Raw genomic sequence first — 24,545 nt, forward strand, 5'->3', positions numbered from 1 at the left:
TACCTCATTAGTTGCTATTATTAGCACAACGTTGGAAATACTAGGAGCTATATTTTCTGGATGTGAGATAATCAGGTTTACATAAAGCTTTATTATAGTTGTCCTTTAGTGTCAAACGATGGCCTTTAGATATGAATCTATATTACTATAGAGAAAATATAGAAAATGAATTTTTGCCTTCTAGCACGAAAGTAGCCCAGTGAGCAAATAAATAGGAAACAAATCTTCACATCATTTCAACATATATTATTTAAATATCAAAGTATTCTTAATAAATTTTCCTTAGCTGGAAGAACTAAACATTCACTTGGCTCATAGGTTTAATATAAGCTTGGAAAATCTTTGGGAAAGCAGATGTTTACCTTCTTTTTAGCCATTATTATTTGTCACAAATACCTCATTTTCTAAAAAAAATCCAATATCACTATTTCACTGAAGAATATACTGTGGCTGCATTTAGTTCAGATTATTTTATTATTTTCAGGTAAGATACTTTGCAAAAGACTTGCTCAGAAATCTGAAAATTTTCATTAAAAGTAAAGAATATATTTTTCATACATGCTAACTGTCCCCCCTTTAAAGAAACTATCCCCATATATTTTGCATAGGCCATTAAATAAAACCAATCATATCCTACCCATGTTATATCTAAATCTCTTTTTTTTCTTTGAGACGGAGTCTTGCTCTGTTGCCAGGCTGGAGTGCAGTGGCGCGATCTTGGCTTACTGCAACCTCCACCTCCTGGGTTCAAGGAATTCTCCTGCCTCAGCCTCCCGAGTAGCTAGAACTATAGACGCGCGCCACCACGCCCAACTAATTTTTGTATTTTTATTGTAGACGGGGTTTCACCACGTTGGCCAGGATGGCCTTGATCTCCTGACTTCGTGATCTGCCAGCCTAGGCTTCCCAGAGTGCTGGGATTACAGGTGTGGGCAACCGTGTCCAGCCTAAATCTCTATTTTTTAAAGTTAAAAGAAGAATAAATTTGAACATATATTTTACTTATTCACCATTGAACAGTTATTTTTGTCCATTAATTTTCGTTTTATATATTTATTTTATTTTATTTTATTTTTTTGAGACAGAGTCTCGTGCTGTCACCCAGGCTGGAGTGCAGTGGCATGATCTCAGCTCACTGCAGGCTCCGCCTCCTGGATTCACGCCATTCTCCTGCCTCAGCCTCCCGAGTAGCTGGGACTACAGGGGCCCGCCACCATGCCCGGCTAGTTTTTTGTATTTTTTTAGTAGAGACGGGGTTTCACAGTGTTAGCCACGATGGTCTCGATCTCCTGGCCTCGTGATCTGCCTGCTTCAGCCTCCCAAAGTGCTGGGATTACAGATGTGAGCCACAGCGCCCCGCCTTTTTCATATATATTTTTTAATCTTGGAAATTATTTCCAACATAGTAAACCAAGAAACATGCCAAACAATTATATTTTTTAAAATTCTAAAACTAAAAAATATACATATTTTTAAAAATTTCTAAAGAAAAAGATTACTTGAAACCACTTATTGAAAGATCCTACAATATGTTCTCGAAAAATCAACACAATGGCTGTGGTAGGCAGCCTCTAAAATGGCTCTCTATAATCGTCACCTTCAGGTATTCATGTCCTTGTCTGTTTCCCTCCTCCTGTGTGTGGGCTGGATCTAGTGAGTCACTTCCAATGGGTAGAAGACAGCTTTCAAGATTAGGTTACTTTCATCTTGTGCTTTCTCTCTCTCCTTCTCTTTCCCCTCCTCTCTCTGTGGGGGAAACAAGCTGCCATGTTATATACACTCCTGACAAGTACAGGCTATTTCTGCAAGGAACTGATGTCTTCAGCCAAGAGCCAGTGAGGAACTGAGACCATACTATGTGACTTAAGAATATCACATTGTCGCTGGGCACCGTGGCTCATGCCTGTAATCCCAGCACTTTGAGAGGCCAAGGCGGGCGGATCACAAGGTCAGGAGATTGAGACCATCCTGGCTAACACAGTGAAATCCCGTCTCTACTAAAACAAAACAAAACAAAACAAAACAAACAAACAAACAAAAACAAACACACAACCCCAAAAATTAGCCGGGCATGGTGGCGGGCCCCTGTAGTCCCAGCTACTCGGGAGGCTGAGGCAGGAGAATGGTGTGAACCTGGGAGGCAGAGTTTGCAGTGAGTAGAGATCGTGCCACTGCACTCCACCCTGGGTGACAGAGTGAGACTCTGTCTCAAAAAAAAAAAAAAAAAAAAAAATGACTATCAGATTGTCATCACATTTTTAAAGCAATACCTTGTGATGAATAAGAAATGGAATATGTGATCCAAGAATTTTATATCAAGATATCAGGGAATGGTTTTCTCATGAGCCTTTACTAAGGAATCTACTAGTGAATTACTTTCAGATAACCAGAATGATGAGTAAAATATTGACATAAGGACTCATGCTGAAGATTCACATTTTACTGTACAATAGTGTTCTACTCTAACCTACCATTTATACAAGGGGTTCCTAGAGTCCATACTTAATTCAGAAACTCTGTCTAGGTAATGATCTCCTGGGGACATTCAACTAATTATGTTGATATTTTTGCCTTACACAAGTATGTTTGGATTTATTACTGAGTTTTCAAAACTAAGAATTAAAATATTAAGAAAATCAAGTGAAAAAGTTAAAAAAATGAAGACATGATACTTCAGTGAAGATGGAAAAGTTTCCTAATTAATAGGACATTCAGGAGGTTCTTCAGGAGAATCTTGCTTCAGTAGTGGGGAAAATTCTCTCAAGACTGAGACTGTTCTGGTCTCACCTAACAAATCTTAACATTAAGACCCAACAGGTTTAAATGGTTTCCAGGTATCATAACAGTATCTCAAAACAAAGTTCTGGAGTACTTATAGAAATGCAAAATTATCTGCATCCAAGAAGATAAAACATACAAGTTTTGTCTCTCAATCAAAGATTATCAGGCATGCAGAGAAGTAGAAAAATATGACCCATAATGAAGGAACCCCCAAGGAAAGGGGTCTACTTGGACCAGGGTTTTGCACTAGATTAAGGAATAAAGTATTTTTATTGTCAAAATCATGAATTATTTAAATTATATATTTTTTATACAAATTTTAGACAATTTTTAAACAAATTTTGCAGGTATTCAAACAAATGTGTTCCAGTGAAGCAGCACGTTTGGTAATGATTCGTTAGACAGGATTCTTACTGGAATCATTTGAGGAAGTGATATTATGACACAGGCAGAAATGTAGCCTAATTATTTAGAATAATTTTTTTCATAAAGACAGTAAATAAAAGAGAATAAAATAATAATATTGAGAACCTACAATGTGGTAGGTACTTTGGGCACATCAAGTTCAGTAACAAACTTTAAAATGTGTTATTATCTCAACTTTACAAAGAAACTGAAGTTCAAAGCAATAAATGTTCTTTTTGAAGATCACACAGGTAGGAGGATGGGACAGCATTTGAATTTGGATTGGTCTGACATTTAGTCTTCAGGTTTCTACTACACTATAGCGTTCTGCAAAGAAGCTGTTGCTCCATAGCATAGGTTTTCCTTCAAGGGGGACAGTCCACTCAAGCTAGTGTAAAAAGAAGTGATGAACTGCTTTAAAAATACAGAAAGAGACATGTTATGGCCACTTGATACTTTGTAATTCTTAGTCAATCATGAAGAAAAGCATTAATTGGATAATATGAACAGTAGGAATTTGTCCCAGGAAACTTTGATAGATGGATTTAAACCAATGAAGCCAAAGATTTACAAATTAAATAAGAAGCACAAATCTAGTATGCTTAATGTTTTATACATTTGCTCTATATCTGATATTGAGTTATTTATGCTTAAATAAATGAACTATATAACATGAAAAATGTAATAAACGACATTATATTAATTGATAGGGAAATAACCTAAGTCATGTGGATTTGGCTGTGAGATTAGAATTGAACAGAATTTTTTTTTCCCAGCACTTTGAAGCTGTTTATTTATAGAATTATGGCCTCCACAGTGTCAGATGCAAAATCTGGGATCATTTGAACCCTATGTAATTATGTTATTCTTTTTCTGGCTGCTTTCAAGATTTTCTCTTTTTCTCTGGCTTTCAGCAGTTAAGACCATGATGTATCTAAACATAGCATCTTAATTTATCATGTTTGAGGGTCACTGAGCTTCTTCAATCTGTATGTTTATGCCTTTTACCCGATTTTGGAAAATTTTGGCTAATTCTTCAAATACTTTTTCTCTCACATTCTTTCGTCTCATTCTGTGATTCCATTTATACATATGTTACGTCTTTTGATATTGTCTTAGAATTATCTGAGGCTCTGCTGATTTTTTCCAATCTTTTTAATATTTTTTGTCCATTCTTCAGATTGGACTATTTCTTTTTTTTTCTTTTTCTTTTTTTTTTAGTACTTTAAGTTCTGTGATACATGTGCAGAATGTGCAGGTTTGTTACATAGGTATGCACGTGCCATGGTGGTTTGCTGCACCCATCAACCCATCATCTACATTAGGTATTTCTCCTAATACTCTCCCTCCTCTAGCTCTCCACCTCCCGACAGGCCCCAGTGTGTGATGTGTGATGTGTGATGTGTCCATGTGTTCTCATTGTTCAACTCCCACTTATGAGTGAGAACATACAGTGTTTGGTTTTCTGTTCTTGTGTTAGTTTGCTGAGAATTATGGTTTCCAGCTTCATCCATATCTCTGCCAAGGACATGAACTCATCCTTTTTTAATGGCTGCATAGCATTCCATGGTGTATATGTGCCACATTTTCTTTATTCAGTCTATCATTGATGGGCATTTGGGTTGGTTCCAAGTCTTTGCTATTGTGAACAGTGCTACAGTAAACAACGTGTGCATGTGTCTTTATAGCAGAATGATTTATAATCCCTTGGGTATATATCCAGTAATGGGATTACTGGATCAAATAGTATTTCTGGTTCTAGATCTTTGAGGATTCACCACACTGTCATCCACAATGGCCGAACTAATTTGCACTCCCACCAACAGTGTAAAAGCATTCCTATTTCTCCACATCCTCTCCAGCATCTGTTGTTTCCTGACTTTTTAATGGTTGCCATTCTAATTGGCAAGAGATGGTATCTCATTGTGGTTTTGATTTGCATTTTTCTAATGACCAGTGATGATGAGCTTTGTTTCATATGTTTGTTGGCCATATAAATGTCTTCTTTTGCAAAGTGTTTGTTCATATCCTTTGCCCACTTTTTGATGGGGTTTTTTTTTCTTGTAAATTTGTTTAAGTTCCTTTTAGATTCTGGATATTAGCCCTTTGTCAGATGGATAGATTGCAAAATTTTTCTCCTGTTCACTCTGATGATAGTTTCTTTTGTTGTGCAGAAGCTCTTTAGTTTAATTAGATCCCAATTGTCAACTTTGGCTTGTGTTGCCATTGCTTTTGGTGTTTTAGTCATGAAGTCTTTGCTCATGCCTATGTCCTGAATGGTATTGCCTAGGTTTTCTTCTAGGGCTTTTATAGTTTTAGGTCTCACATTTAAGTCTTTAATCCATCTTGAGTTAATTTTTGTATAAGGTGTAAGGAAGGGGTCCAGTTTCAGTTTTCTGCATATGGCTAGCCAGTTTTTCCAACACCATTTAATAAATAAGGAATCCTTTCCCCATTGCTTGTTTTTGTCAGGTTTGTCAAAGATCAGATGGTTGTAGATGTGTGGTGTTATTTCTGAGGCCTCTGTTCTCTTCCATTGGTCTATATATCTCTTTTGATATCAGTACCGTGCTGTTTTGGTTACTGTAGCCTTGTAGCATAGTTTGAAGTCAGGTAGTGTGATGCCTCCAGCTTTGTTCTTTTTGCTTAGGATTTTCTTGGCTATACGGGCTCTTTTTTGGTTCCATATGAAATTTAAAGTATTTTTTTCCAATTCTGTGAAGAAAGTCAATGGTAGCTTGATGGGGATAGCATTGAATCTATAAATTACTTTGGGCAGTATGGCCATTTTCACAAAATTGATTTTTCCTATCCATGAGCATGGAATATTTTTCTGTTTGTTTGTGTCCTGTCTTATTTCCTTGCACAGTAGTTTGTAGTTCTCCTTGAAGAAGTCCTTCACATCCCTTGTTGGCTATATTCCTAGGTATTTTATTCTCTTAGTAGCAATTGGGAATGTGAGTTCACTCATGATTTGGCTCCCTGTTTGTCTATTACTGGTGTATAGGAATGCTTGTGATTTTTGCACATTGCTTCTGTATCCTGAGACTTTCCTGAAGTTGCTTATCAGCTTAAAGAGATTTTGGGTGGAAACTATGCTGTTTTCTAAATACAAAGTCATGTCGTCTGCAAATAAAGACAATTTGACTTTCTCTCTTCCTGTTTGAATACTCTTTATTTCTTTCTCTTGCCTGATTGCCCAGAGCAGAACTTCCAATACTATGTTGAATAGGAGTGGTGAGAGAGGGAATCCTTGACGTGTGCCAGTTTTCAAAGGTAATGCTTCCAGCTTTTGCCCATTCAGTATGATATTGGCTGTGTGTTTGTCATAGATAGTTCTTATTATTTTGAGATATGTTCCAACAATACCTAGTTTATTGAGAGTTTTTAGCATGATGGGGTGTTGACTTTTATCGAACGACTTTTCTGCATCTATTGAGATAATCATGTGGTTTTTGTGATTGGTTCTCTTTATGTGATGGATTACATTTATTGATTTGTGTATGTTGAACCAACCTTGCATCCCATGGATGAAGCTGACTTGATCGTGGTGGATAAGCTTTTTGATGTGCTGCTGGATTCAGTTTGCCCATATTTTATAGAGGATTTTCACACTGATATTCATCAGGGATATTGGCCTGAAATTTTGTTGTTGTTGTTGTGTCTCTGCCAGGTTTTGGTATCAGGATGATGCTGGCCTCATAAAATGAGTTAGGAGGAGTCCCTCTTTTTCTATTGTTTGGAATAATTTCAGAAGGAATGGTACCAGCTCCTCTTTGTACCTCTGGCAGAATTCAGCTGTGAATCCGTCTGGTCCTGGGCTTTTTTTGGTTGGTAGGCTGTTAGTTACTGCCTCAATTTCAGAACTTGTTATTGGTCTATTCAGGGATTCAATTTGTTCCTGGTTTAGTCTTGGGAGGGTGTATGTGTCCAGGAATTTATCCATTTCTTCTAGATTTTCTAGTTTATTTGAATAGAGGTGTTTATAGTATTCTCTGATGGTAGTTTGTATTTCTGTGGGATCAGTGGTGATATCCCCTTTACCATTTTTTATTGTGTCTATTTACTGCTTCTTTCTTTTCTTCTTTATTAGTCTGGGTAGTGTTCTATCTATTTTGTCGATCTTTTCAAAAAACCAGCTCCTGGATTCATTGATTTTTTTAAAGGGTTTTTTGTGTCCCTATCTCCTTCAGTTCTGCTCTGATCTTACTTATTTCTTGTCTTCTGCTAGCTTTTGAATTTGTTTGCATTTGTTTTATTCTTTTAATTGTGATATTAGGGTGTTGACTTTAGATCTTTCCCGCTTTCTCCTGTGGTCATTTAGTGCTATAAATTTCCCTCTATACACTGCTTTAGCTCTGTCCAGTGATTCTGGAATGTTGTGTCTCTATTCTCATTGGTTTTAAATAACTTTCTTATGTCTGCCTTCATGTTGTTATTTACCCAGTAGTCATTCAGGAGCAGGTTGTTCAGTTTCTATGTAGTTTTGTGGTTTTGAGTGAGTTTCTTAATCCTGAATTCTAGTTTGATTGCACTGTGGTCTGAGAGACTGTTTGTTATGTTTTCCATTCTTTTGCATTTGCTGAGGAGTGTTTTACTTCAAATTATGTGGTCAATTTTAGAATAAGTGCAATGTGGTGCTGAGAAAAATGTATATTCTGTTGATTTGGGGTGGAGAGTTCTGTAGATGTCTATTAGGCCACTTGGTCCAGAGCTGAGTTCAAGTCCTGAATATTCTTGTTAATTTTCTGTCTCATCATCTGTCTAATATTGACAGTGGGGTGTTATAGTCTCCCACTATTATTGTGTAGGAATCTAAGTCTCTCTGTAGGTCTCTAAGAACTTGCTTTATGAATCTCGGTGCTCCTGTATTGGGTGCATATATATTTAGGATAGACCTTCTTGTTGCATTGATTCCTTTACTGTTATGTAATGCCCTTGTTTGTCTTTTTTGATCTTTGTTGTTTTAAAGTCTGTATTATCAAGGACTAGGATTGCAACCCCTGCTTTTTTTTTGCTTTCCATTTGCTTGGTAAATATTCCTCCATCCCTTTATTTTGAGCCCATGTGTGTCTTTGCACATGAGATAGATCTCCTGAACACAGCACACCAATGAGTCTTGACTCTTTATCCATTTTTCTGGTATGTGTCTTTTAATTGCAGCATTTAGCCCATTTACATTTAAGGTTAATATTGTTATGTGTGAATTTGATCCCTACATTATAATGCTAGCTGGTTATTTTGCCTGTTAGTTGATGCAGTTCCTTCATAGTGTCGATGGTCTTTACAATTTGGTATGTTTTTGCAGTGACTGGTACCAGTTTTTCCTTTCCATATTTAGTGCTTCCTTCAGGAGCTCTTGTAAGGCAGGCCTCGTGGTGACAAAATCTCTCATCATTTGCTTGTCCATAAAGGATTTTATTTCTCCTTCGCTTATGAATCTTAGTTTGGCTGGATATGAAATTCTGGGTTGAAAATTCTTTAAGAATGTTGAATATTGGCCCCCACTCTCTTCTGGCTTGTAGGGTTTCTGCAGAAAGATCTACTGTTAGTTTGATGGGCTTCCTTCTGTGGGTAACCCGACCTTTCTCTCTGGCTGCCCTTAACATTTTTTCCTTCATTTCAACCTTAGTGAATCTGATGATTATATGTCTTCCAGTCGCTCTTCTCCAGGAGTATCTTTGTGGTGTTCTCTGTATTTCCTGAATTTGAATGTTGGCCTGTCTTGCTAGGTTGGGGAATTTCTCCTGGATAATACTCTGAAGAGTGGTTTCCAACTTGGTTCCATTCTCCTCATCACTTTCAGGTACACCAATCAAACGTAGGTTCGGTCTTTTCACATAGTCCCATATCTGTTGGAGGCTTTGTTTGTTCCTTTTCATCCCTTTTTCTCTAGTCTTGTCTTCATGCTTTATTTCATTAAGTTGATTTTTAATCTCTAATATCCTTTCTTACACTTGATCGATTCGGCTATTGATACTTACGTATGCATCACGAAGTTCTTGTGCTGTGTTTTTTAGCTCCATCAGGTTATTTATGTACTTCTCTAAACTGCTTATTCTACTTAGCAATTCCTCTAACCTTTTTTCAAGGTTCTTAACTTACTTGCATTGGGTTAGAACATGCTCCTTTAGCTCAGAGGAGTTTGTTGTTATCCACCTTCTGTAGCCTGCTTCTGTCAATTCGTCAAACTCATTCTCCATCCAGTTTTGTTCCCTTGCTGGCGAGGAGTTGTGATCCTTTGGAGGAGAAGTGGCATTCTGGTTTTTGGAACTTTCAGCCTTTTTGAGCTGGTTTTCCCTCATCTTTGTGGATTTATCTATCTTTGGTCTTGATGTTGGTGACCTTCGCATGGGGTTTCTGTGTGGATGTCCTTTTTGTTGATGTTGATGCTATTCCTTTCTGTTTGTTAGTTTTCCTTCTAACAGTCAGGCCCCTCTGCTCCAGGTCTGCTGGAGTTTGCTGGAGATCCACTCCAGACCCTGTTTGCCTGGGTTTCACCAGTGGAGGCTGAAGAATGGCAAAGACTGATGCCTGTTCCTTCCTCTGGAAGCTTTGTCCCAGAGGGGCACCTTCCAGGTGCCAGCCAGAGCTCTCCTGTATGAAGTGTCTGTTGACCCCTGTTGGGAGGTGTCTCCCAGTCAGAAGGCATGGGGGTCAGGGACTCACTTGAAAAGGTACTCTGTCCCTTAGAGCTTGAGCGCTGTGCTGGGAGATCCACTGCTGTCTTCAGAGATAGCAGGCAGGAATGTTTAAGTCTGCTGAAACTGCACCCACAGCCACCCCTTACCCCAGGTGCTCTGTCCCAGGGAGATGGAAGTTTTATCTATAAGCTCCTGACTGCTGTCTTTCTTTCAGAGATGCCCTGCCCAGAGAGGAGGAATCTAGAGAGGCAGTCTGTCTACAGTGGCTTTGCCAAGCTGCAGTGGGCTATGCAGCTGTGAGGGGAAAATTGCCTACTCAAGCCTCGGTAATGGTGGACGCCCCTCCCCCCACCAATCTGTAGCGTCCTAGTTTGACTTCAGACTGCTGTGCTGGCAGTGAGAATTTCAGGCCAGTGGATCTTAGCTTGCTGGCCTCTGTGGGGGTGGGATCCACTGAGCTAGACCACTTGGCTCCCTGGCTTCAGCTCCCTTTTCAGGGGTGTGAAGAGTTCTGTCTTTCAGGCATTCCAGGTGCCACTAGGGCATGAAAAACACTCCTGTAGCTAGCTCAGTGTCTGCCCAAATGGCAGCCCAGGTTTGTGCTTGAAACCCGGGGCCCTGGTGGCATAGGCACTGGAGGGAATCTCCTGGTCTATGGGTTGCAAAGACCATGGGAAAAGTATCTGGGCATAGTATCTGGGCCAGAATGCACTGTTTCTCATGGCATGGTCCCTCACAGCTTCCCTTGGCTAGGGGACTTCCCCGACCCCTTGCACTTCCCCAGTGAGGTGATGCCCCACCCTGCTTCTGCTAACTGTCCGTGGGTTGCACCCACTGTCTAAGCAGTCCCAATGAGATGAGCTGGGTACCTCAGTTGGAAATGCAGAAATCATCCACATTCTGCATTGATCTCACTGGGAGCTGCAGACCAGAGATGTTTCTATTCAGCCATCTTGCCAGCCACCCTGCTCCAGATTTTTATCCTCAGTTTTTCCATTCTCAGACACACAACCAAGTGCTAACATTTGGGAAAAACACCTGGGCACCAAGTAGATGCAAACTGGAGAAAAAAAAATTCTGGGAAAAATGCTTAAGTCCAACGGGGAGTTGCCAAAGTTTCAAACAGTGATGGAAACATTGTTGTGGTCACATGGTAGAAATTCAAAAGCTGTGAAACATGGATCATGATTTTTTGAAAGATAAGATATTTTCAGGTTTCAGTGTTTTAGAGACAAAATTGCTTCCTCAAAATCTTTTAGCCAAAATCGGGGAAAATTCAGCCAAATATCAGGCAAAATTCACTCCCGATATTTCACGTAGGTTCTTTTCTATTTTCCCTAAGCATCGGCCAGTTTGAGAAATAAAGGGACAGAGTACAAAAGAGAGAAATTTTAAAGCTGGGCGTCTGGGGGATACATCACATGTCGGTAGGTTCTGTGATGCCCCACAAGACATAAAACCAGCAAGTTTTTATTAGGGATTTTCAGAAGGGGAGGGAGTGTATGAATAGGGTGTGGGTAACAGAGATCACGTGCTTCACAAGGTAATAGAATATCACAGGCAAATTGAGGCAGGGCGAGATCACAGGACCACAGGACTGGGGCAAAATTAAAATTGCTAATGAAGTTTCGGGCACCATTGTCATTGATAGCATCTTATCAGGAGACAGGGTTTGAGAGCAACTGGTCTGACCAAAATTTATTAGGTGGGAATTTCCTCACCCTAATAAGCCTGGGAGTGCTATGGGAGACTGGGGCTTATTTCATCCCTACAGTCTCAACCATAGAAGGCGGCCACACCCAAGGGGGCCATTTTAGAGGCCCACCCTCAGGGGCGCATTCTCTTTCTCAGGGATGTTCTTTGCTGAGAAAAAGAATTCAGTGATATTTCTCCCATTTGCTTTTGAAAGAAGAGAAATATGGCTCTGTTCCGCCCGGCTCACCGGCGGTCAGAGTTTAAGGTTATCTCTCTTATTCCCTGAACATTGCTGTTATCCTGTTCTTTTCTCAAGGTGCCCAGATTACATATTGTTTAAACACACATGCTCTACAATTTGTGCAGTTAATGAAATTATCACAGGGTCCTGAGGTGACATGCATCCTCCTCAGCTGACAGGATGAAGAGATTAAAATAAAGACAGGCATAGGAAATCACAAGGGTATTGATTGGGGAAGTGATAAGTGTCCATGAAATCTTTACAATTTATGTTTAGAGATTGCAGTAAAGACAGGCATAAGAAATTACAAAGTATTAATTTGGGGAACTAATAAATGTCCATGAAATCTTCACAATCCATGTTCTTCTGCCATGGCTTCAGCCGGTCCCTCCATTTGGGGTCCCTGACTTCCTGCAAGAAGCCAACATTTTAATTGCTGAGTTCTATGTATTTTATATACTTTGACCTAAATGGAACAATCAATCTAATTAGTCTCACCTTCATTGTAAAATTAGTCGTGTTTATTATTCACCTATTCTGTTAAAATAATAGTGTGAATATATCTATTTAATAGTAATCAAATAGGTTTTCATAATGGCATTTTACACATATTTCCAATAGTGATAACTTAGAGCAATGAGAGAAATACTAGAAAGAAGGAAGGAGGCTTCCTTCTGGGTTTTTTTAAATGTACATGCAAATTGTTTCATTTCTTTTATCAGTTAAAAATTAACCTAGATTAAAAAAGAACTATAAAATGTTTATTAGCAAAAATACCTTGGAAGATATTTAAAATGAATTACTACTATAATTAAAGAAAAAGAAATGTTAGCCTCGGGAGCATTGGGAGACCCCCACCTCTACAAAAATAGTTTTAAAAAATTAGCCCAACATGGTGGCATGTGGTTGTAGTCCCAGCTACTTGGGAGGCTGAGGTGGGAAAATTGCTTGAGCTCAAGATATTGAGGCTGCAGTGAGCCATGGTCGCACCACTGTCCTCCAAGCCTGGGCAATAGAGTGAGACCTGTCTCAAAAAAAAAAGAAAAAAAAAAAAAGAAAAGAAAACCAAATATTTATTAGAGTAAATACTTCTATTTTTAGCTATCTTGGGGATGCAAACTAAAAAAAAGTTTGGATAATTTAAGAAAATATCTAAACATATTCCAAAATATTTTAATATATTTTGAAAATGTATACATTTGTATTCATGCTCAATTTTTAAGATAACACTTTAAGATGATATTCTAGACAGCATACACAAGCACTAATGCTATCTGTAATGGCAACTTAAATTGCTTTTCTTGGAGAATTTTTCAAAGAAACTTTAATATATGTGTCTACTTTTTTCACATTTAATTTCAGAAATTTTCTGAGTGTTATACTTTTTTGGTGACTTCCGACACTTTATTTTCTCAAGTAATTCTATAACTTTAGGAAGGACAAAATCCAATCTCTTATAAAATGGCCTTTGTTATAAAAAATGTCCTCATTTTCTTCTGCAGCAAAGACACACTAAAAATAAACCTGGCTTTCTTGTTGCATTCCTATCCTCTTTACTGCCTCTCTTCCCTCCTCCTGGTGATTGGTAGCCACACAGGCAGGTTTCTTTCACTGTCTTTGAAAATTGTTTCCATTATTTACAATATGAGTTCCAGAGCTGACATTTTTTCCATTTTAAATATTAAATATTAGATTTTTGATTTTTTTTGCAAGTCCAGCCATTTACCTAGATTGGTCAAAAGATTTAAAAAATAAATTAATAAAAATAAGTTGAAAGCTTTACATTGTTAGCAATAAATTGATATTGGTTATATTAAATATGGCCAATGCTGTATTTGATTCATTCAGCACCCATTACAACTCCCCTTCTTCTTTGTCTGCCTCTATGGTAGAAGCTGGAAAATGAAATCCTAAAATCCCAGTGTCTTTTGGAGGCACTACAGATATAAAGTGAAAAAATAGTGTAAGAGAGAAGCAAACTGGTAAATTGGCCCCTAAAAGACAGTGATAAGAGCAATGGTAAGGAAGTGTAGGCACACTAGGCTGTGGGAGTGCATAGGCACATTGGCCATTTCCTATTAATTTCATGTCCGCATATCTGGAGGTAACGTTGATATAAACATGATAATGAAGCATTGCCATGTGACAAATGTTGAGTGTGCCGTGACAGCCTGGGATTTTGCTCTGAGGTAGGACTGGATGCCTCATTCTAAGGAGGCAGCCGAACTCACTACAGAACAAGAAACCAAACTCATAATCTTTCTTCCATATTTATTTCCACTTATACAATTTTTATCAACAGATCCTTGGTGTTATCTTGAGTTCACTTTCTCTTTCCTCTCATCTGGGCTATCACCAGTCTTGTTGCTTCTTCCTGTGTATTGTATTGTATTGTATTGTATTGTATTGTATTGTATTGTATTGTATTGCATTTTTCTCTTCTAATTTCCATCTTTTTTACCACTGAATCTGCATTAACAAGGGATCTTATCGCCTCTCTCTCTATTGTTAGAATTTCTTGTGTGATCTCTTGGATTCTGGTCTTTCCCTCCAGCCCCACCTCTATCCTATTTCGTGATTACTTTTTCTAATGATCCCCCAAACCTTAAAATATTATGTATTGCCTGTGATAGATTGGAATATTGTTCCTAATTTGTCACTCCTTCTGTGTTTGCCAGGGAACTCTCCAGTACATCCCACCATGGGCTTGTCTGTGGGACTTGTTTTAGTGGCAGAATTGAGGGTGTGCTGGCAAATTCCAAGCTGAGGCCTTAAGGAGCACCCCATTTCCCCTTGTGGTCCTGTGTCTGTGTGATCCATCATGAGAATGGCATGTCCCTGGTAACCACTGCACATTCAGGCTCAGCCCCAGAATAATGTCATGTGGAACACACCTGCATCTCACCCAGAAAACTGGAATCCAGCCTGGCCCAGACAAACTTATCCAAGGTCAGCAGGAGCACAGACTACCAGCAGTCTTGTGAGCATGAAAATCAATATTTGCTTTTGTAAGCCACTGAGATTTAGAGGTTGTTACAGAAAACTTGGTTAATATATTGCCCACTTAACAGTATGTAAACTCTTCGGTTTGGCCTCTTCAAGGTCAAGAAGATTTAGCCTCATCCCTTTTCTGGATTCAATCTTGCTTCCGCATGAACAGTAGGCATAAGCAGTAGGCAAATGGTCTACTCATAGCCCAAACATGCATTTGCTGTCCAACTTTTGGCTCAGTCTCTTTATTAAGCTATATTTCTTTTCTTGGTGAAAAAAAAAGATAGTAAAGAAGAAGGAGTACTGGGCATTTGAGGAAAGACTCAGGCTGCATTCTGGTAGATGGCAATTAATAATAATTGGCAGGAGGTTTTACTCTGAGAGTGCACACCCTCAGCAGGGCAAAGGTGACAGAGAAGCACAAAAAACACTCTCTCCCAGGGCTGCCGGCTTTCAGCAGGGTTGTGGCCACTGGAGAATCCCCAGAAGTGTCTCTCTAAGCCCATGCTCCCTGAGCCCCAGTGGGAAGAGCCACAACTGTGTCCACAGCAGTACACTGGGGGAAGGGGTGAGGGTTGAGAAATGATCTCCTCTCCAAGTCCATCCCGGGCTTTAATGTTGCCTCTTCAGCAGCTGGCACCATGCTTACATTTCCTTTGACCAAAGGGGAGCTTTGGTATACTGCACTCACCCCTTTCTTAGGGGTAGTCTATGCCAAGGATTAGGTCTGAACCATAGTGGGGTCTGCCTCTCTTCCTCCCCTCAGAGCTGGTTTGTCACTCTCCTCCAACTGACCAAGGAAGCAGGCTAGGGCACTCAGCAATAACACATGCAGATGGGTTCCAGGTTGCAAAGCTGTTGCTAGCTGCAAATCATACCACCCAAGAGAAACCTCAGCTTCAGCAGCTCTCTTCCAGCTCCAGTCCTGTCGTGGGAGACAGCCTAATTCCAGCATCTACTGCTGGAGTGCTCTCCACACTTGCCACTCAATTCTAGCTATGGGGGCCCTTCACTAGCTCCAGAGCAAGTGATATAATCTCTGGCTTGAGAAGAAAATGTCTGCAGTGGCTGTTGTTTCCAGGTCACCAAACAATGATTGACTTTGTATGAGCACAAGTATATCACTACGCCAAACAAAATCTGAGAAAGCCACCATAGAAATCCATCTGTGACCAAGGATTCTGTATAGAGCCATGGTCATCTGAAAGCACTCAGAAACAAAGCCAATCCATCATACACCACATACACCACAGTCATCATACACCACAGTCATACCCTGAAGAGAAAAAAGAATAAAAAATCAAAAAATCCCCATCCAAACAATACCAAATTCAAAAACAAATTTAAAAAAGCATCACCTCCAGATGAGAAGGAACCAGTGAAAGAACTTTGGAAATATAATAGGCCAGAGTGTTTTGTCACCTTGCAGAGATCACACTAGGTCCCTAGCAATGGATCCTAACAAGAATGAAATGTCTGAAATAATAGATATAGAATTCAGAAAATGGATGGCAAGAAAACTCAATGAGATCCAAGAGAAAGTTGAAATCCGATAAAAAGAAACAGAAAAACTATTCAGAATTTGAAAGATGACATAGCTACATTAAGAAAGAACCAAATAGGCTGGGTGAGGTGTCTCACGCCTGTAATCCCAGCACTTTGGGAGGCCGAGGTGGGTGGATCGTGGGGTCAGCAGATTGAGACCATCCTGGCTAACACGGTGAAACCCCGTCTCTATTAAAAATACAAAAAATTAGCCAGGCATGGTGGCCGGCACCTGTAGTCCCAACTACCTGGGAGGCTGAGGCAGGAGAATGGCGTGAACCAGGGAGGCGGAGCTTGCAGTGAGCCTAGAACTTCTCACATGAAAAAATTCACTACAGGAATTTCAAAAAACAATTGGAAGGCTTAACAACAGAAACAAGCAAAAGAAAGAATTTCAGAGACTGAAGACCAGTCCTTTGAATTAACCCAGACAAACAAAAATAAAGAAAAAAGAGTAAAAACAAAGCTTTTGAGAAATATGAAATTAGGCAAAGCAATCAAGTCTATGACTTACTGGTACTCCTGAGAGAGAATAAGAGAACATGGAAAACATATTTAAGGAACATGGAAGCAACATGGAAAACATATTTAAGGAATATACTTTAGAAAAATTTCCCCAATTTTGCTAGAGAGGTAGACATGCAGGTATAAGAAATCCAGAGAACTCCTGTGAAATAGTGTATAAGATAACCATAGATACTACACAAAGCACATAGTTATCAGACTATCCAAGATTAATGCAAAAGAAAAAATTCTTAAAGGCTACTAGAGAAAAAGGCCATATTACTTATACAAGGAAAGCAATCAGACTAATAGCAGACTTCTCAGGAAAAGTCTTACAAGCCAGAAGAGACTAAGGGCTCATTTTTAGCATTCTTAAAGAAAATATATGCCAGCCAATTATCTCATACACCATCAAACTAAGCTTCATAAATGAAGAAGTAAAGTCTTTCTCAGATAAGCAATCATAAATCAAATTTGTCACCACCAGACTGGGTCTACAAGAGATTCTTAAAGGAGTTGTAAACCTGAAAAGAAAAAAAATGATACACACAATGAAAGCACATGTAAGTACATAGCTCACAGACCCTATAAAACAACTACACAGTTGAAACTATGAAGGAACTTGCTAACAACACTGCAACAGGAACACAACCTTACATACCAATATTAACCTTGAATGTAAATGGCTTAAATGCTCCACTTAAAGCACATATAGTGGCAAAATGGATAAAAAAAAATACAAGACCTATCCTTCTGCTGTCTTCAACAGACCCATCTCACATGTAATGACACCCACAGGCTCAAAGTAAAGGTGAAGAAAGATCTATTTTGCAAATGGAAAACAAAAAAGAGCAGAAATCAGTATTCTTGTTTGAAATAAAGAGTTTAAACCAACAACAGTAATAAAGCAAAAAAGAAGGGCATTGCATAATGATAAAAGGTTCAATTTAATAAGAAGTTTTAACTCTCCTAAGATTGAATATATATACACCCAACATTGGAGCACTCAGATTCATACAACAATTACTTCCAGGCCTAAGAAAAGACTTAGTCAGACATACAATAATAGTGGGAGACTTCAGCATTCCACTGACAGCATTAGGGAGATCACTAAGGCAGAAAACTAACAAATTCTGGACTTAAATTTGACACTTGAGCAACTGTAACTAATAGATAACCACTAAATATACCACCAACCACTAAATATACATTCTTCTCCTCTGCACACAGAACATATTCCAAGATTTATAACATGCTTGGTCATAAAGTAAGTTGCAATAAATCCAAAAAAATCAAAATGATATCAACCATAATCTTAGGCCACAGTAGAATAAAAATAGAAATCAATACCAAAAGGAATTCTTAAAACCATATAATTACATGGAAATTAAAACTTGCTTCTGAATGACTTTTGGGTAAACAATAAAATTAAGGCAAAAATTTAAAAAAATTCTTTGAAATAAATTAAATAGAGACACAACATACCAAAACCTCTGGGATGTGGCAAAAGCAATGTTAAGAAGAGAGTTTATAGCATTAAACATCTACATCAAGATGATAGAAAGATCTCAAATTAACAATCTAACATTCCATCTAAAGAAACTAGAAAAACAAGAGCAAACTTATCCCAAAGCTAGCAGAAGAAAAAAAATAACTGAAATCAGAACAGAACTAAATGAAATTGAGACAAAAAATTCATACAAGAGATTAACAAAATAAACAGTGGTTTATTTGAAAGAATAAACAAAATCGAAAGACCTCTAGGTACATTAACAAAGAGAGAAAGAGAACATCCAAATAAACAGATCAGAAATGATAACGGTGGCATTATGACCAATTCCACAGAAATACAAAAGATCCTCAGAAATTATTATGAACACCTCTATGCATACAACCTAAAAAATCTAGAGGAAATGGATAGATTTCTGGAAACACACAATCTACCAAGAGTGAATCAGGAAGAAATTAAAGCCGAGAGAAAAATCAAATGCATAATCCCATTTACAATAGCCATAAAAATATAAAATATCTAGGAATGCATCTAAACAAGGAAGTGAAATATCTCTACAAGGAGAACTACAAAACTGAAAGAAATCAGAGATGACATAAACAAATAAAAAAATCCACGTTCATAGACTGAAAGAAGCAATATTGTTAAAATGTCTATACTGCCTAAAGCAATCTATAGATTAAATGCTATTCCTATCAGATCACCAATGTCATTTTTCACAGAATTAAAACAAATTCTAAAATTAATGTGGAAGAAAAAAGAGTCCAAGTAGCCAAAGCAATCCTATGCAAAAAGAACAAAGCCAGAGGCATCCCATTACCCAGCTTCAAAGTTGGGTTGCCTACAAGGCTATAGCAACCAAAACAACAAGGTACTAATACAAAAATAGACACATAGACGAAAGGAACAGGATAGAGAACCCAGAAATAAAGCCACAGACCTACAACCAACTGATCTTTGACAAAGTTGACAAAAATAAACAATGGAGAAAGGACCTCCTGTTCAATAAATAGTGCTGGGAAAACTAGCTAAACATATGCAGAGGAATGCTACTGGACGTCTACCTCTCACCATTTAAAAAATTGACTCAAAATGGATTAAATACTTAAATGTAAGAACTCAAAGTATAAAAATCCTAGAAAAAAACCTAGGAATTACACTTTCGGGCATCAGCCTAGGCAAATAATTTATGACTAAGTCTTCAAAAGCAAATGCAACAAAACAAAAATTGACAATTGGCACCTATTTAACTAAGAGCTTCTGTGCAGCAAAATAAACTATCAACACAGTAAATAAACTCCAGAGTGGGAGAAAATATTTGCAAACTATGCATCTGGCAAAAGACTAACATCGAGAATCTATAAGGAACTGAAACAAATCAACAAGTAAAAAACAAATAACCCCATTAAAAAGTAGGCAAAGAACATGAACAGATACTTCGCAAAAGAAAACATACGAGCAGCCAACAAACATGAAGAAATGTTCAACATCACTAATCAGCAAACAAATGCAAATCAAAACCACAGTAAGGTATTATCTTATGCCAGGAAGAATGGCTATTATTTAAAAGTTTTTTAAAATTCTTTTTTTTATAAAAAACTTATAACCTGTAAGTTTGTAACTTGTAAAACTTGTAAGTTATTTTTGTAAAACTTTTTTTTTTTTTTTTAGAAAAAACAGTAACATGTTGGGAGGTTACAGAAAAAATTGAATGATTATACACTGTTGGTGGGAATGTAAATTAGTTGAGACCCTGTAGAAAGTGGCTTGGAGATTTGTCAAGGAACTGAAAATAAAACTACCATTGAGCCAGCAATCCGTTACTGGGTATATACCCAAAGGAAAATGCATTGCTTATGAAAGACACCTTCACCCATAAGAGTAAGTTCAAAAAAAAAATGCAACAAAACAAAAACAAAAATTGACAACTGGGACCTATTATAATTAAGTTAAAGAGCTTCTTCACACAAAAAGAAGCTATCGGCAGAGTAAACATACAACCACAGAATGGGAGAAATATTTGCAGCACTACTCACAGTAGCAAAGATATGCAATCAACCTAGGTGCCCATCAATGGGTGGATTTGATAAAGAAGATGTGTCATACATATACCATGCATTACAATGCAATGTCATCAAAAGAATGAAATTATGCCCTTTCCAGCAACATCAATGTCCTGAGGCCATTAACCTAAGTGATGCAGAAACAGAAACCCCAATATCACACGTTCTCATTTATAAGTGGGAAATAAACATTGGGTACACACGGACAGAAAGATAGAAACAATAAACACTGGGGACTCCAAAAGGGAGGAAGGAGGGGGCAAGGGCTAAAAAACTTCTTATTGGATACTATGTTCACTATTTGGGTAATGGGATCAATAGAAGGCCAAATCTCAGCATCATAAAACATACCCTTGTAACAAACCTGTACATGTGTCCCCTGAATCTAAAATATATATATAATTATATATATTATATACAATATTATATTCTCTCTCTCATATATATAAAATATATATAAAATAAATATATATATTATATATTTATATATTATATAAAAATATATATAAAATAAAATATATAAAAAATAAAATATATAAAATATATAATATATATAAATATACATAAAAATATATATTATATAAATATATATATAATATATATAAAATATAAAAATAAAAATGAAACCATCCAGAATGTATTTTTCGCTAGGAACATTTTGGAAGAAGAGAGGGACACAAGAAGTAAAAGGAAGTTGAAAGTGATTATAGAGCTCGACTGCAGAATTTATGTTGAGGGAGGTAAAAAGGAAGGAATGCTTGGGAGATGCCTTGTGGAAAATAAATCTGGATGTGGCAAAGAATGTAGAGGTAGTATGGTTAGTTGAAAATTTGGAATCAGAGAGTGAGTAAACTCAACCAGCTTTATTTTTAATTCTTTATATTATTGCAGCCTTGCATAATTTACTTAAGGTTTAAAGTCTGCAGAAAAAGCATGTGCTTGGCACAGGTTAGGGCACAGCTTGAAGCTAACTGTATGGGGTGGTAAGGAAGAATCTTCCAGAAAGAGGTTACAGGCACCCCTGTAGCTTCTCCTCTGGAATGGATTAAGCATTTCACCCACACTACACAATGTGGTGGAGGAGTAATTGCTCAAAAGGAAATTATGGTGTTTTGAGGGAGGAAGAATGGATGTTGAGGCCAAATGAATGTCCTTGTTCATGGGCCTAGTTGGGGAAATAGACATGGGTACACGAAAGTAGGCCTAGAAACACCAAATGTCTGAGGCTGAGAAGAAAGGAAGCTTCAGAACACAATAAGAATGGGTGGGAACCTTGAGGGGCAAATTGTTGCCTTCGTTATCTTCATCCTTACCATCTGAATGTGTGCACAGCACCAGGCCTTAATTCCTGAACAGGCCTTTTCTCAACTATAAATCAGGAGATAATCTGCAGGTTTTCTTGTATATTGGTTCCATATACACCATGAGTATTTCATGCCTGATATCCTAGTTTGTAGGACTCCTTGAGACTTTCAGGTTGCTCCTGTTTGCTGCAAATGATGATAAACAATTCTGTGTGCATGTGTGTTTGTTCATTGCAATCCTCTTATAACTCATGAATTTATTATTGTTGTCTTGCATATGCGCACTTCACTCTTTCATGTTCCCATAGTAACGTGAAAGTTTTCAAAAATAAAGTGTGGTTGCTGAGTAAGTATTAATGTTTGTCCTTGCAACTTGATACGTGGTCGTTTCTGCTGTCTCCCATCCTCTGCCCTTCACATTTGGTTGACTCTAGTGATAAAATGGTTTTGGAATTCTCTGCGTTTACGGTCTCAGGTAAATTGTTAAAAATAAATGCACATCAGGAACACTTGAGACCACCATTGAGAAGTGAGACATTCTATTGATTTCAATTTTTGAGGCACTTTTAACATTAGGATCAATCAGATTAATTGTAAAACCATTTACTGGAAAGACACTAATTTAAGCTGCCATTATAAGTTACCTCTATTTCATTTTGAAAGGCTTACAGCACCAAAAATAGTCTGTGCTCAAAAAGTCAAAACACAATCTAAGTATTGTATTGATATTATTTTGCCATCTTATGATCCTTAACATTACTTTTGGATAAACATGTGTTCCAACTAGAATTTGTACTCGAGGATGACACAACTGCATACTATACATCTTTACTCCCAATGATCTAGAAGAGACAGATTCTTGCTCTGTCACCTAGGCTGGAGTGCAGTGAAATAATTATAACTTACTGCAGCCTGAAACTCCTGGGGCCAACGGGTCTTCCTGCCTCAGCCTCCTGAGAAGCTGGGACTACATGTGTGTGTCATCACACACAACTAATTTTTAAAATTTTTTTTTGCAGAAGTGGGGTCTTGCTATGTTTCCCAGGTTGGTCTCAAACTCCCAGCTTCAAGTGATCCTCCCACCTCAGCCTACCAAAGTACTGGGATTACAGGTATGAGCCACCATGTCCAGCTTCATAGAGCTTTTAAAAATACATTTTATTTGAAAATAATTATATACATATAAAATTTGTGAAAAGTAAGAGTAGCACAAAAATGCAAAAATATCAACAGTACAAAGATTGCCCATATACCTTTTTCTCAAATAAAAATATACCTTTTACTCAACTTACACAAGTTCAACTTTTACCCAAAATATTCTTAACAACCTATTTCCATTTTCTTTCTTTCTTTCTTTCTTTCTTTCTTTCTTTCTTTCTTTCTTTCTTTCTTCTTTCTTCTTTCTTTCTTTCTTTATTTTTTTATTGTGTGTGTGTGTGTGTGTGTGTATTTTCTGGGTTTATTTTCAGAATCATGTGAGATTAAGATGATTAAAATAAGATTCTTTACCCTTAAAGATTTCAATGCATATTTCTTAAGAGTAGGCGTATTCTATTACATAATTGCTATAGGATTATCAATTTGATAGAATACTTTTGTGTAATCTAATCTTTGCACTCCAATTTTGCCCATTGACCTCACAATATATTTACGGTATGTTTTTCCTTCATTACAGAGTTCACTTTATGATAAGTTGTATTTAGAATCTTAAACATTTTCACTGTCTTTTTGACATTAAAATTGTTTGAAGAATGTCTTTCCTTTTAAACAGAGGACTTCTCATTTTGATTTTGTTGGATGTTTTCTCATGGTGATGGCTGGAATAATAAATAAGTGACATGCCTTTCTCAGGATGTCACATCTGGAAGTGTATGGTGTCCATCTTCCCCCTCATTGGTGGCACTAATGTTGATTGCCTGGTCAATACTTTGTCCAATTTCTGCATGGTATTGTTACCAATGAGTAATCTGTGGGAAGAATCTTTATGGCCATTTAAATATCCTGTTTCTCATGTAAATTTCTTTCTAGATTGATTATCCATTGATGACTCTTACTTGATCCAATATTCTAATCTTTATTTGGATGGTTGCAAAATCGTGATTTTTTTTCAACTCCACCATTCCTCCCCTGTTCAATATTTGACACTCCTTCATATGTATACATGTATGTATACATGTTCATATCCATCATGTAACCATCTATCATTTATTTCTTATGCTGCAAACTAATAGATTGTACTTTATTTCAATGGCTTAAAATTTCTTACTTTTCCTAATTATTTTGGTGCTCAAGTTGTCCTGGATTTGGCCAATGGGAACCCTTTCAGCCTGGCTCCTATGTCTTTGTGATATGCACCTATCATTTTTAAAGCACCTCTTTACATTCTGATATCAAAAGATGTTCTGTGCCTTAGCCCTGGAATAAGTCATTGCTCTGTGGAGCCTTGATTCCTTTTAGTAGGGATGGTATTAGAGACCATGTTCTGTGTGCTAGATATAGTCAATGTTTTGTATATATAATATGTCAGTAATGTTTTTGGCAATCATGAGGTTAATCATGGTTAGTAATATTTATATTTAACCACTTGCTTACATGTAAATGAGTTTTTGAAGATGTTCTGTACACACATTTTGTTGAAATTGAATACCAATTTTCATGCAGTCGAAGTTTAAAAAAAATGTGTTTAAAAGAAACATGCGCTGGGGGCAGTGGCTCATGCCTGTAATCCCAGCACTTTGAGAAGCTGAGGCGGGCAGATTACCCGAGGTTGGGAGTTCGAGACCAGCCTGGCCAACATGGTGAAACCTTGTTTCTACTAAAAATACAAAAATTAGCCAGGTGTGGTGGTGCACATCTGTAATC

Source organism: Homo sapiens, chromosome 8, assembly GCF_000001405.40.
Source record: "Homo sapiens chromosome 8, GRCh38.p14 Primary Assembly".
In the NCBI taxonomy this organism is placed as follows: Eukaryota; Metazoa; Chordata; class Mammalia; order Primates; family Hominidae; genus Homo; species Homo sapiens.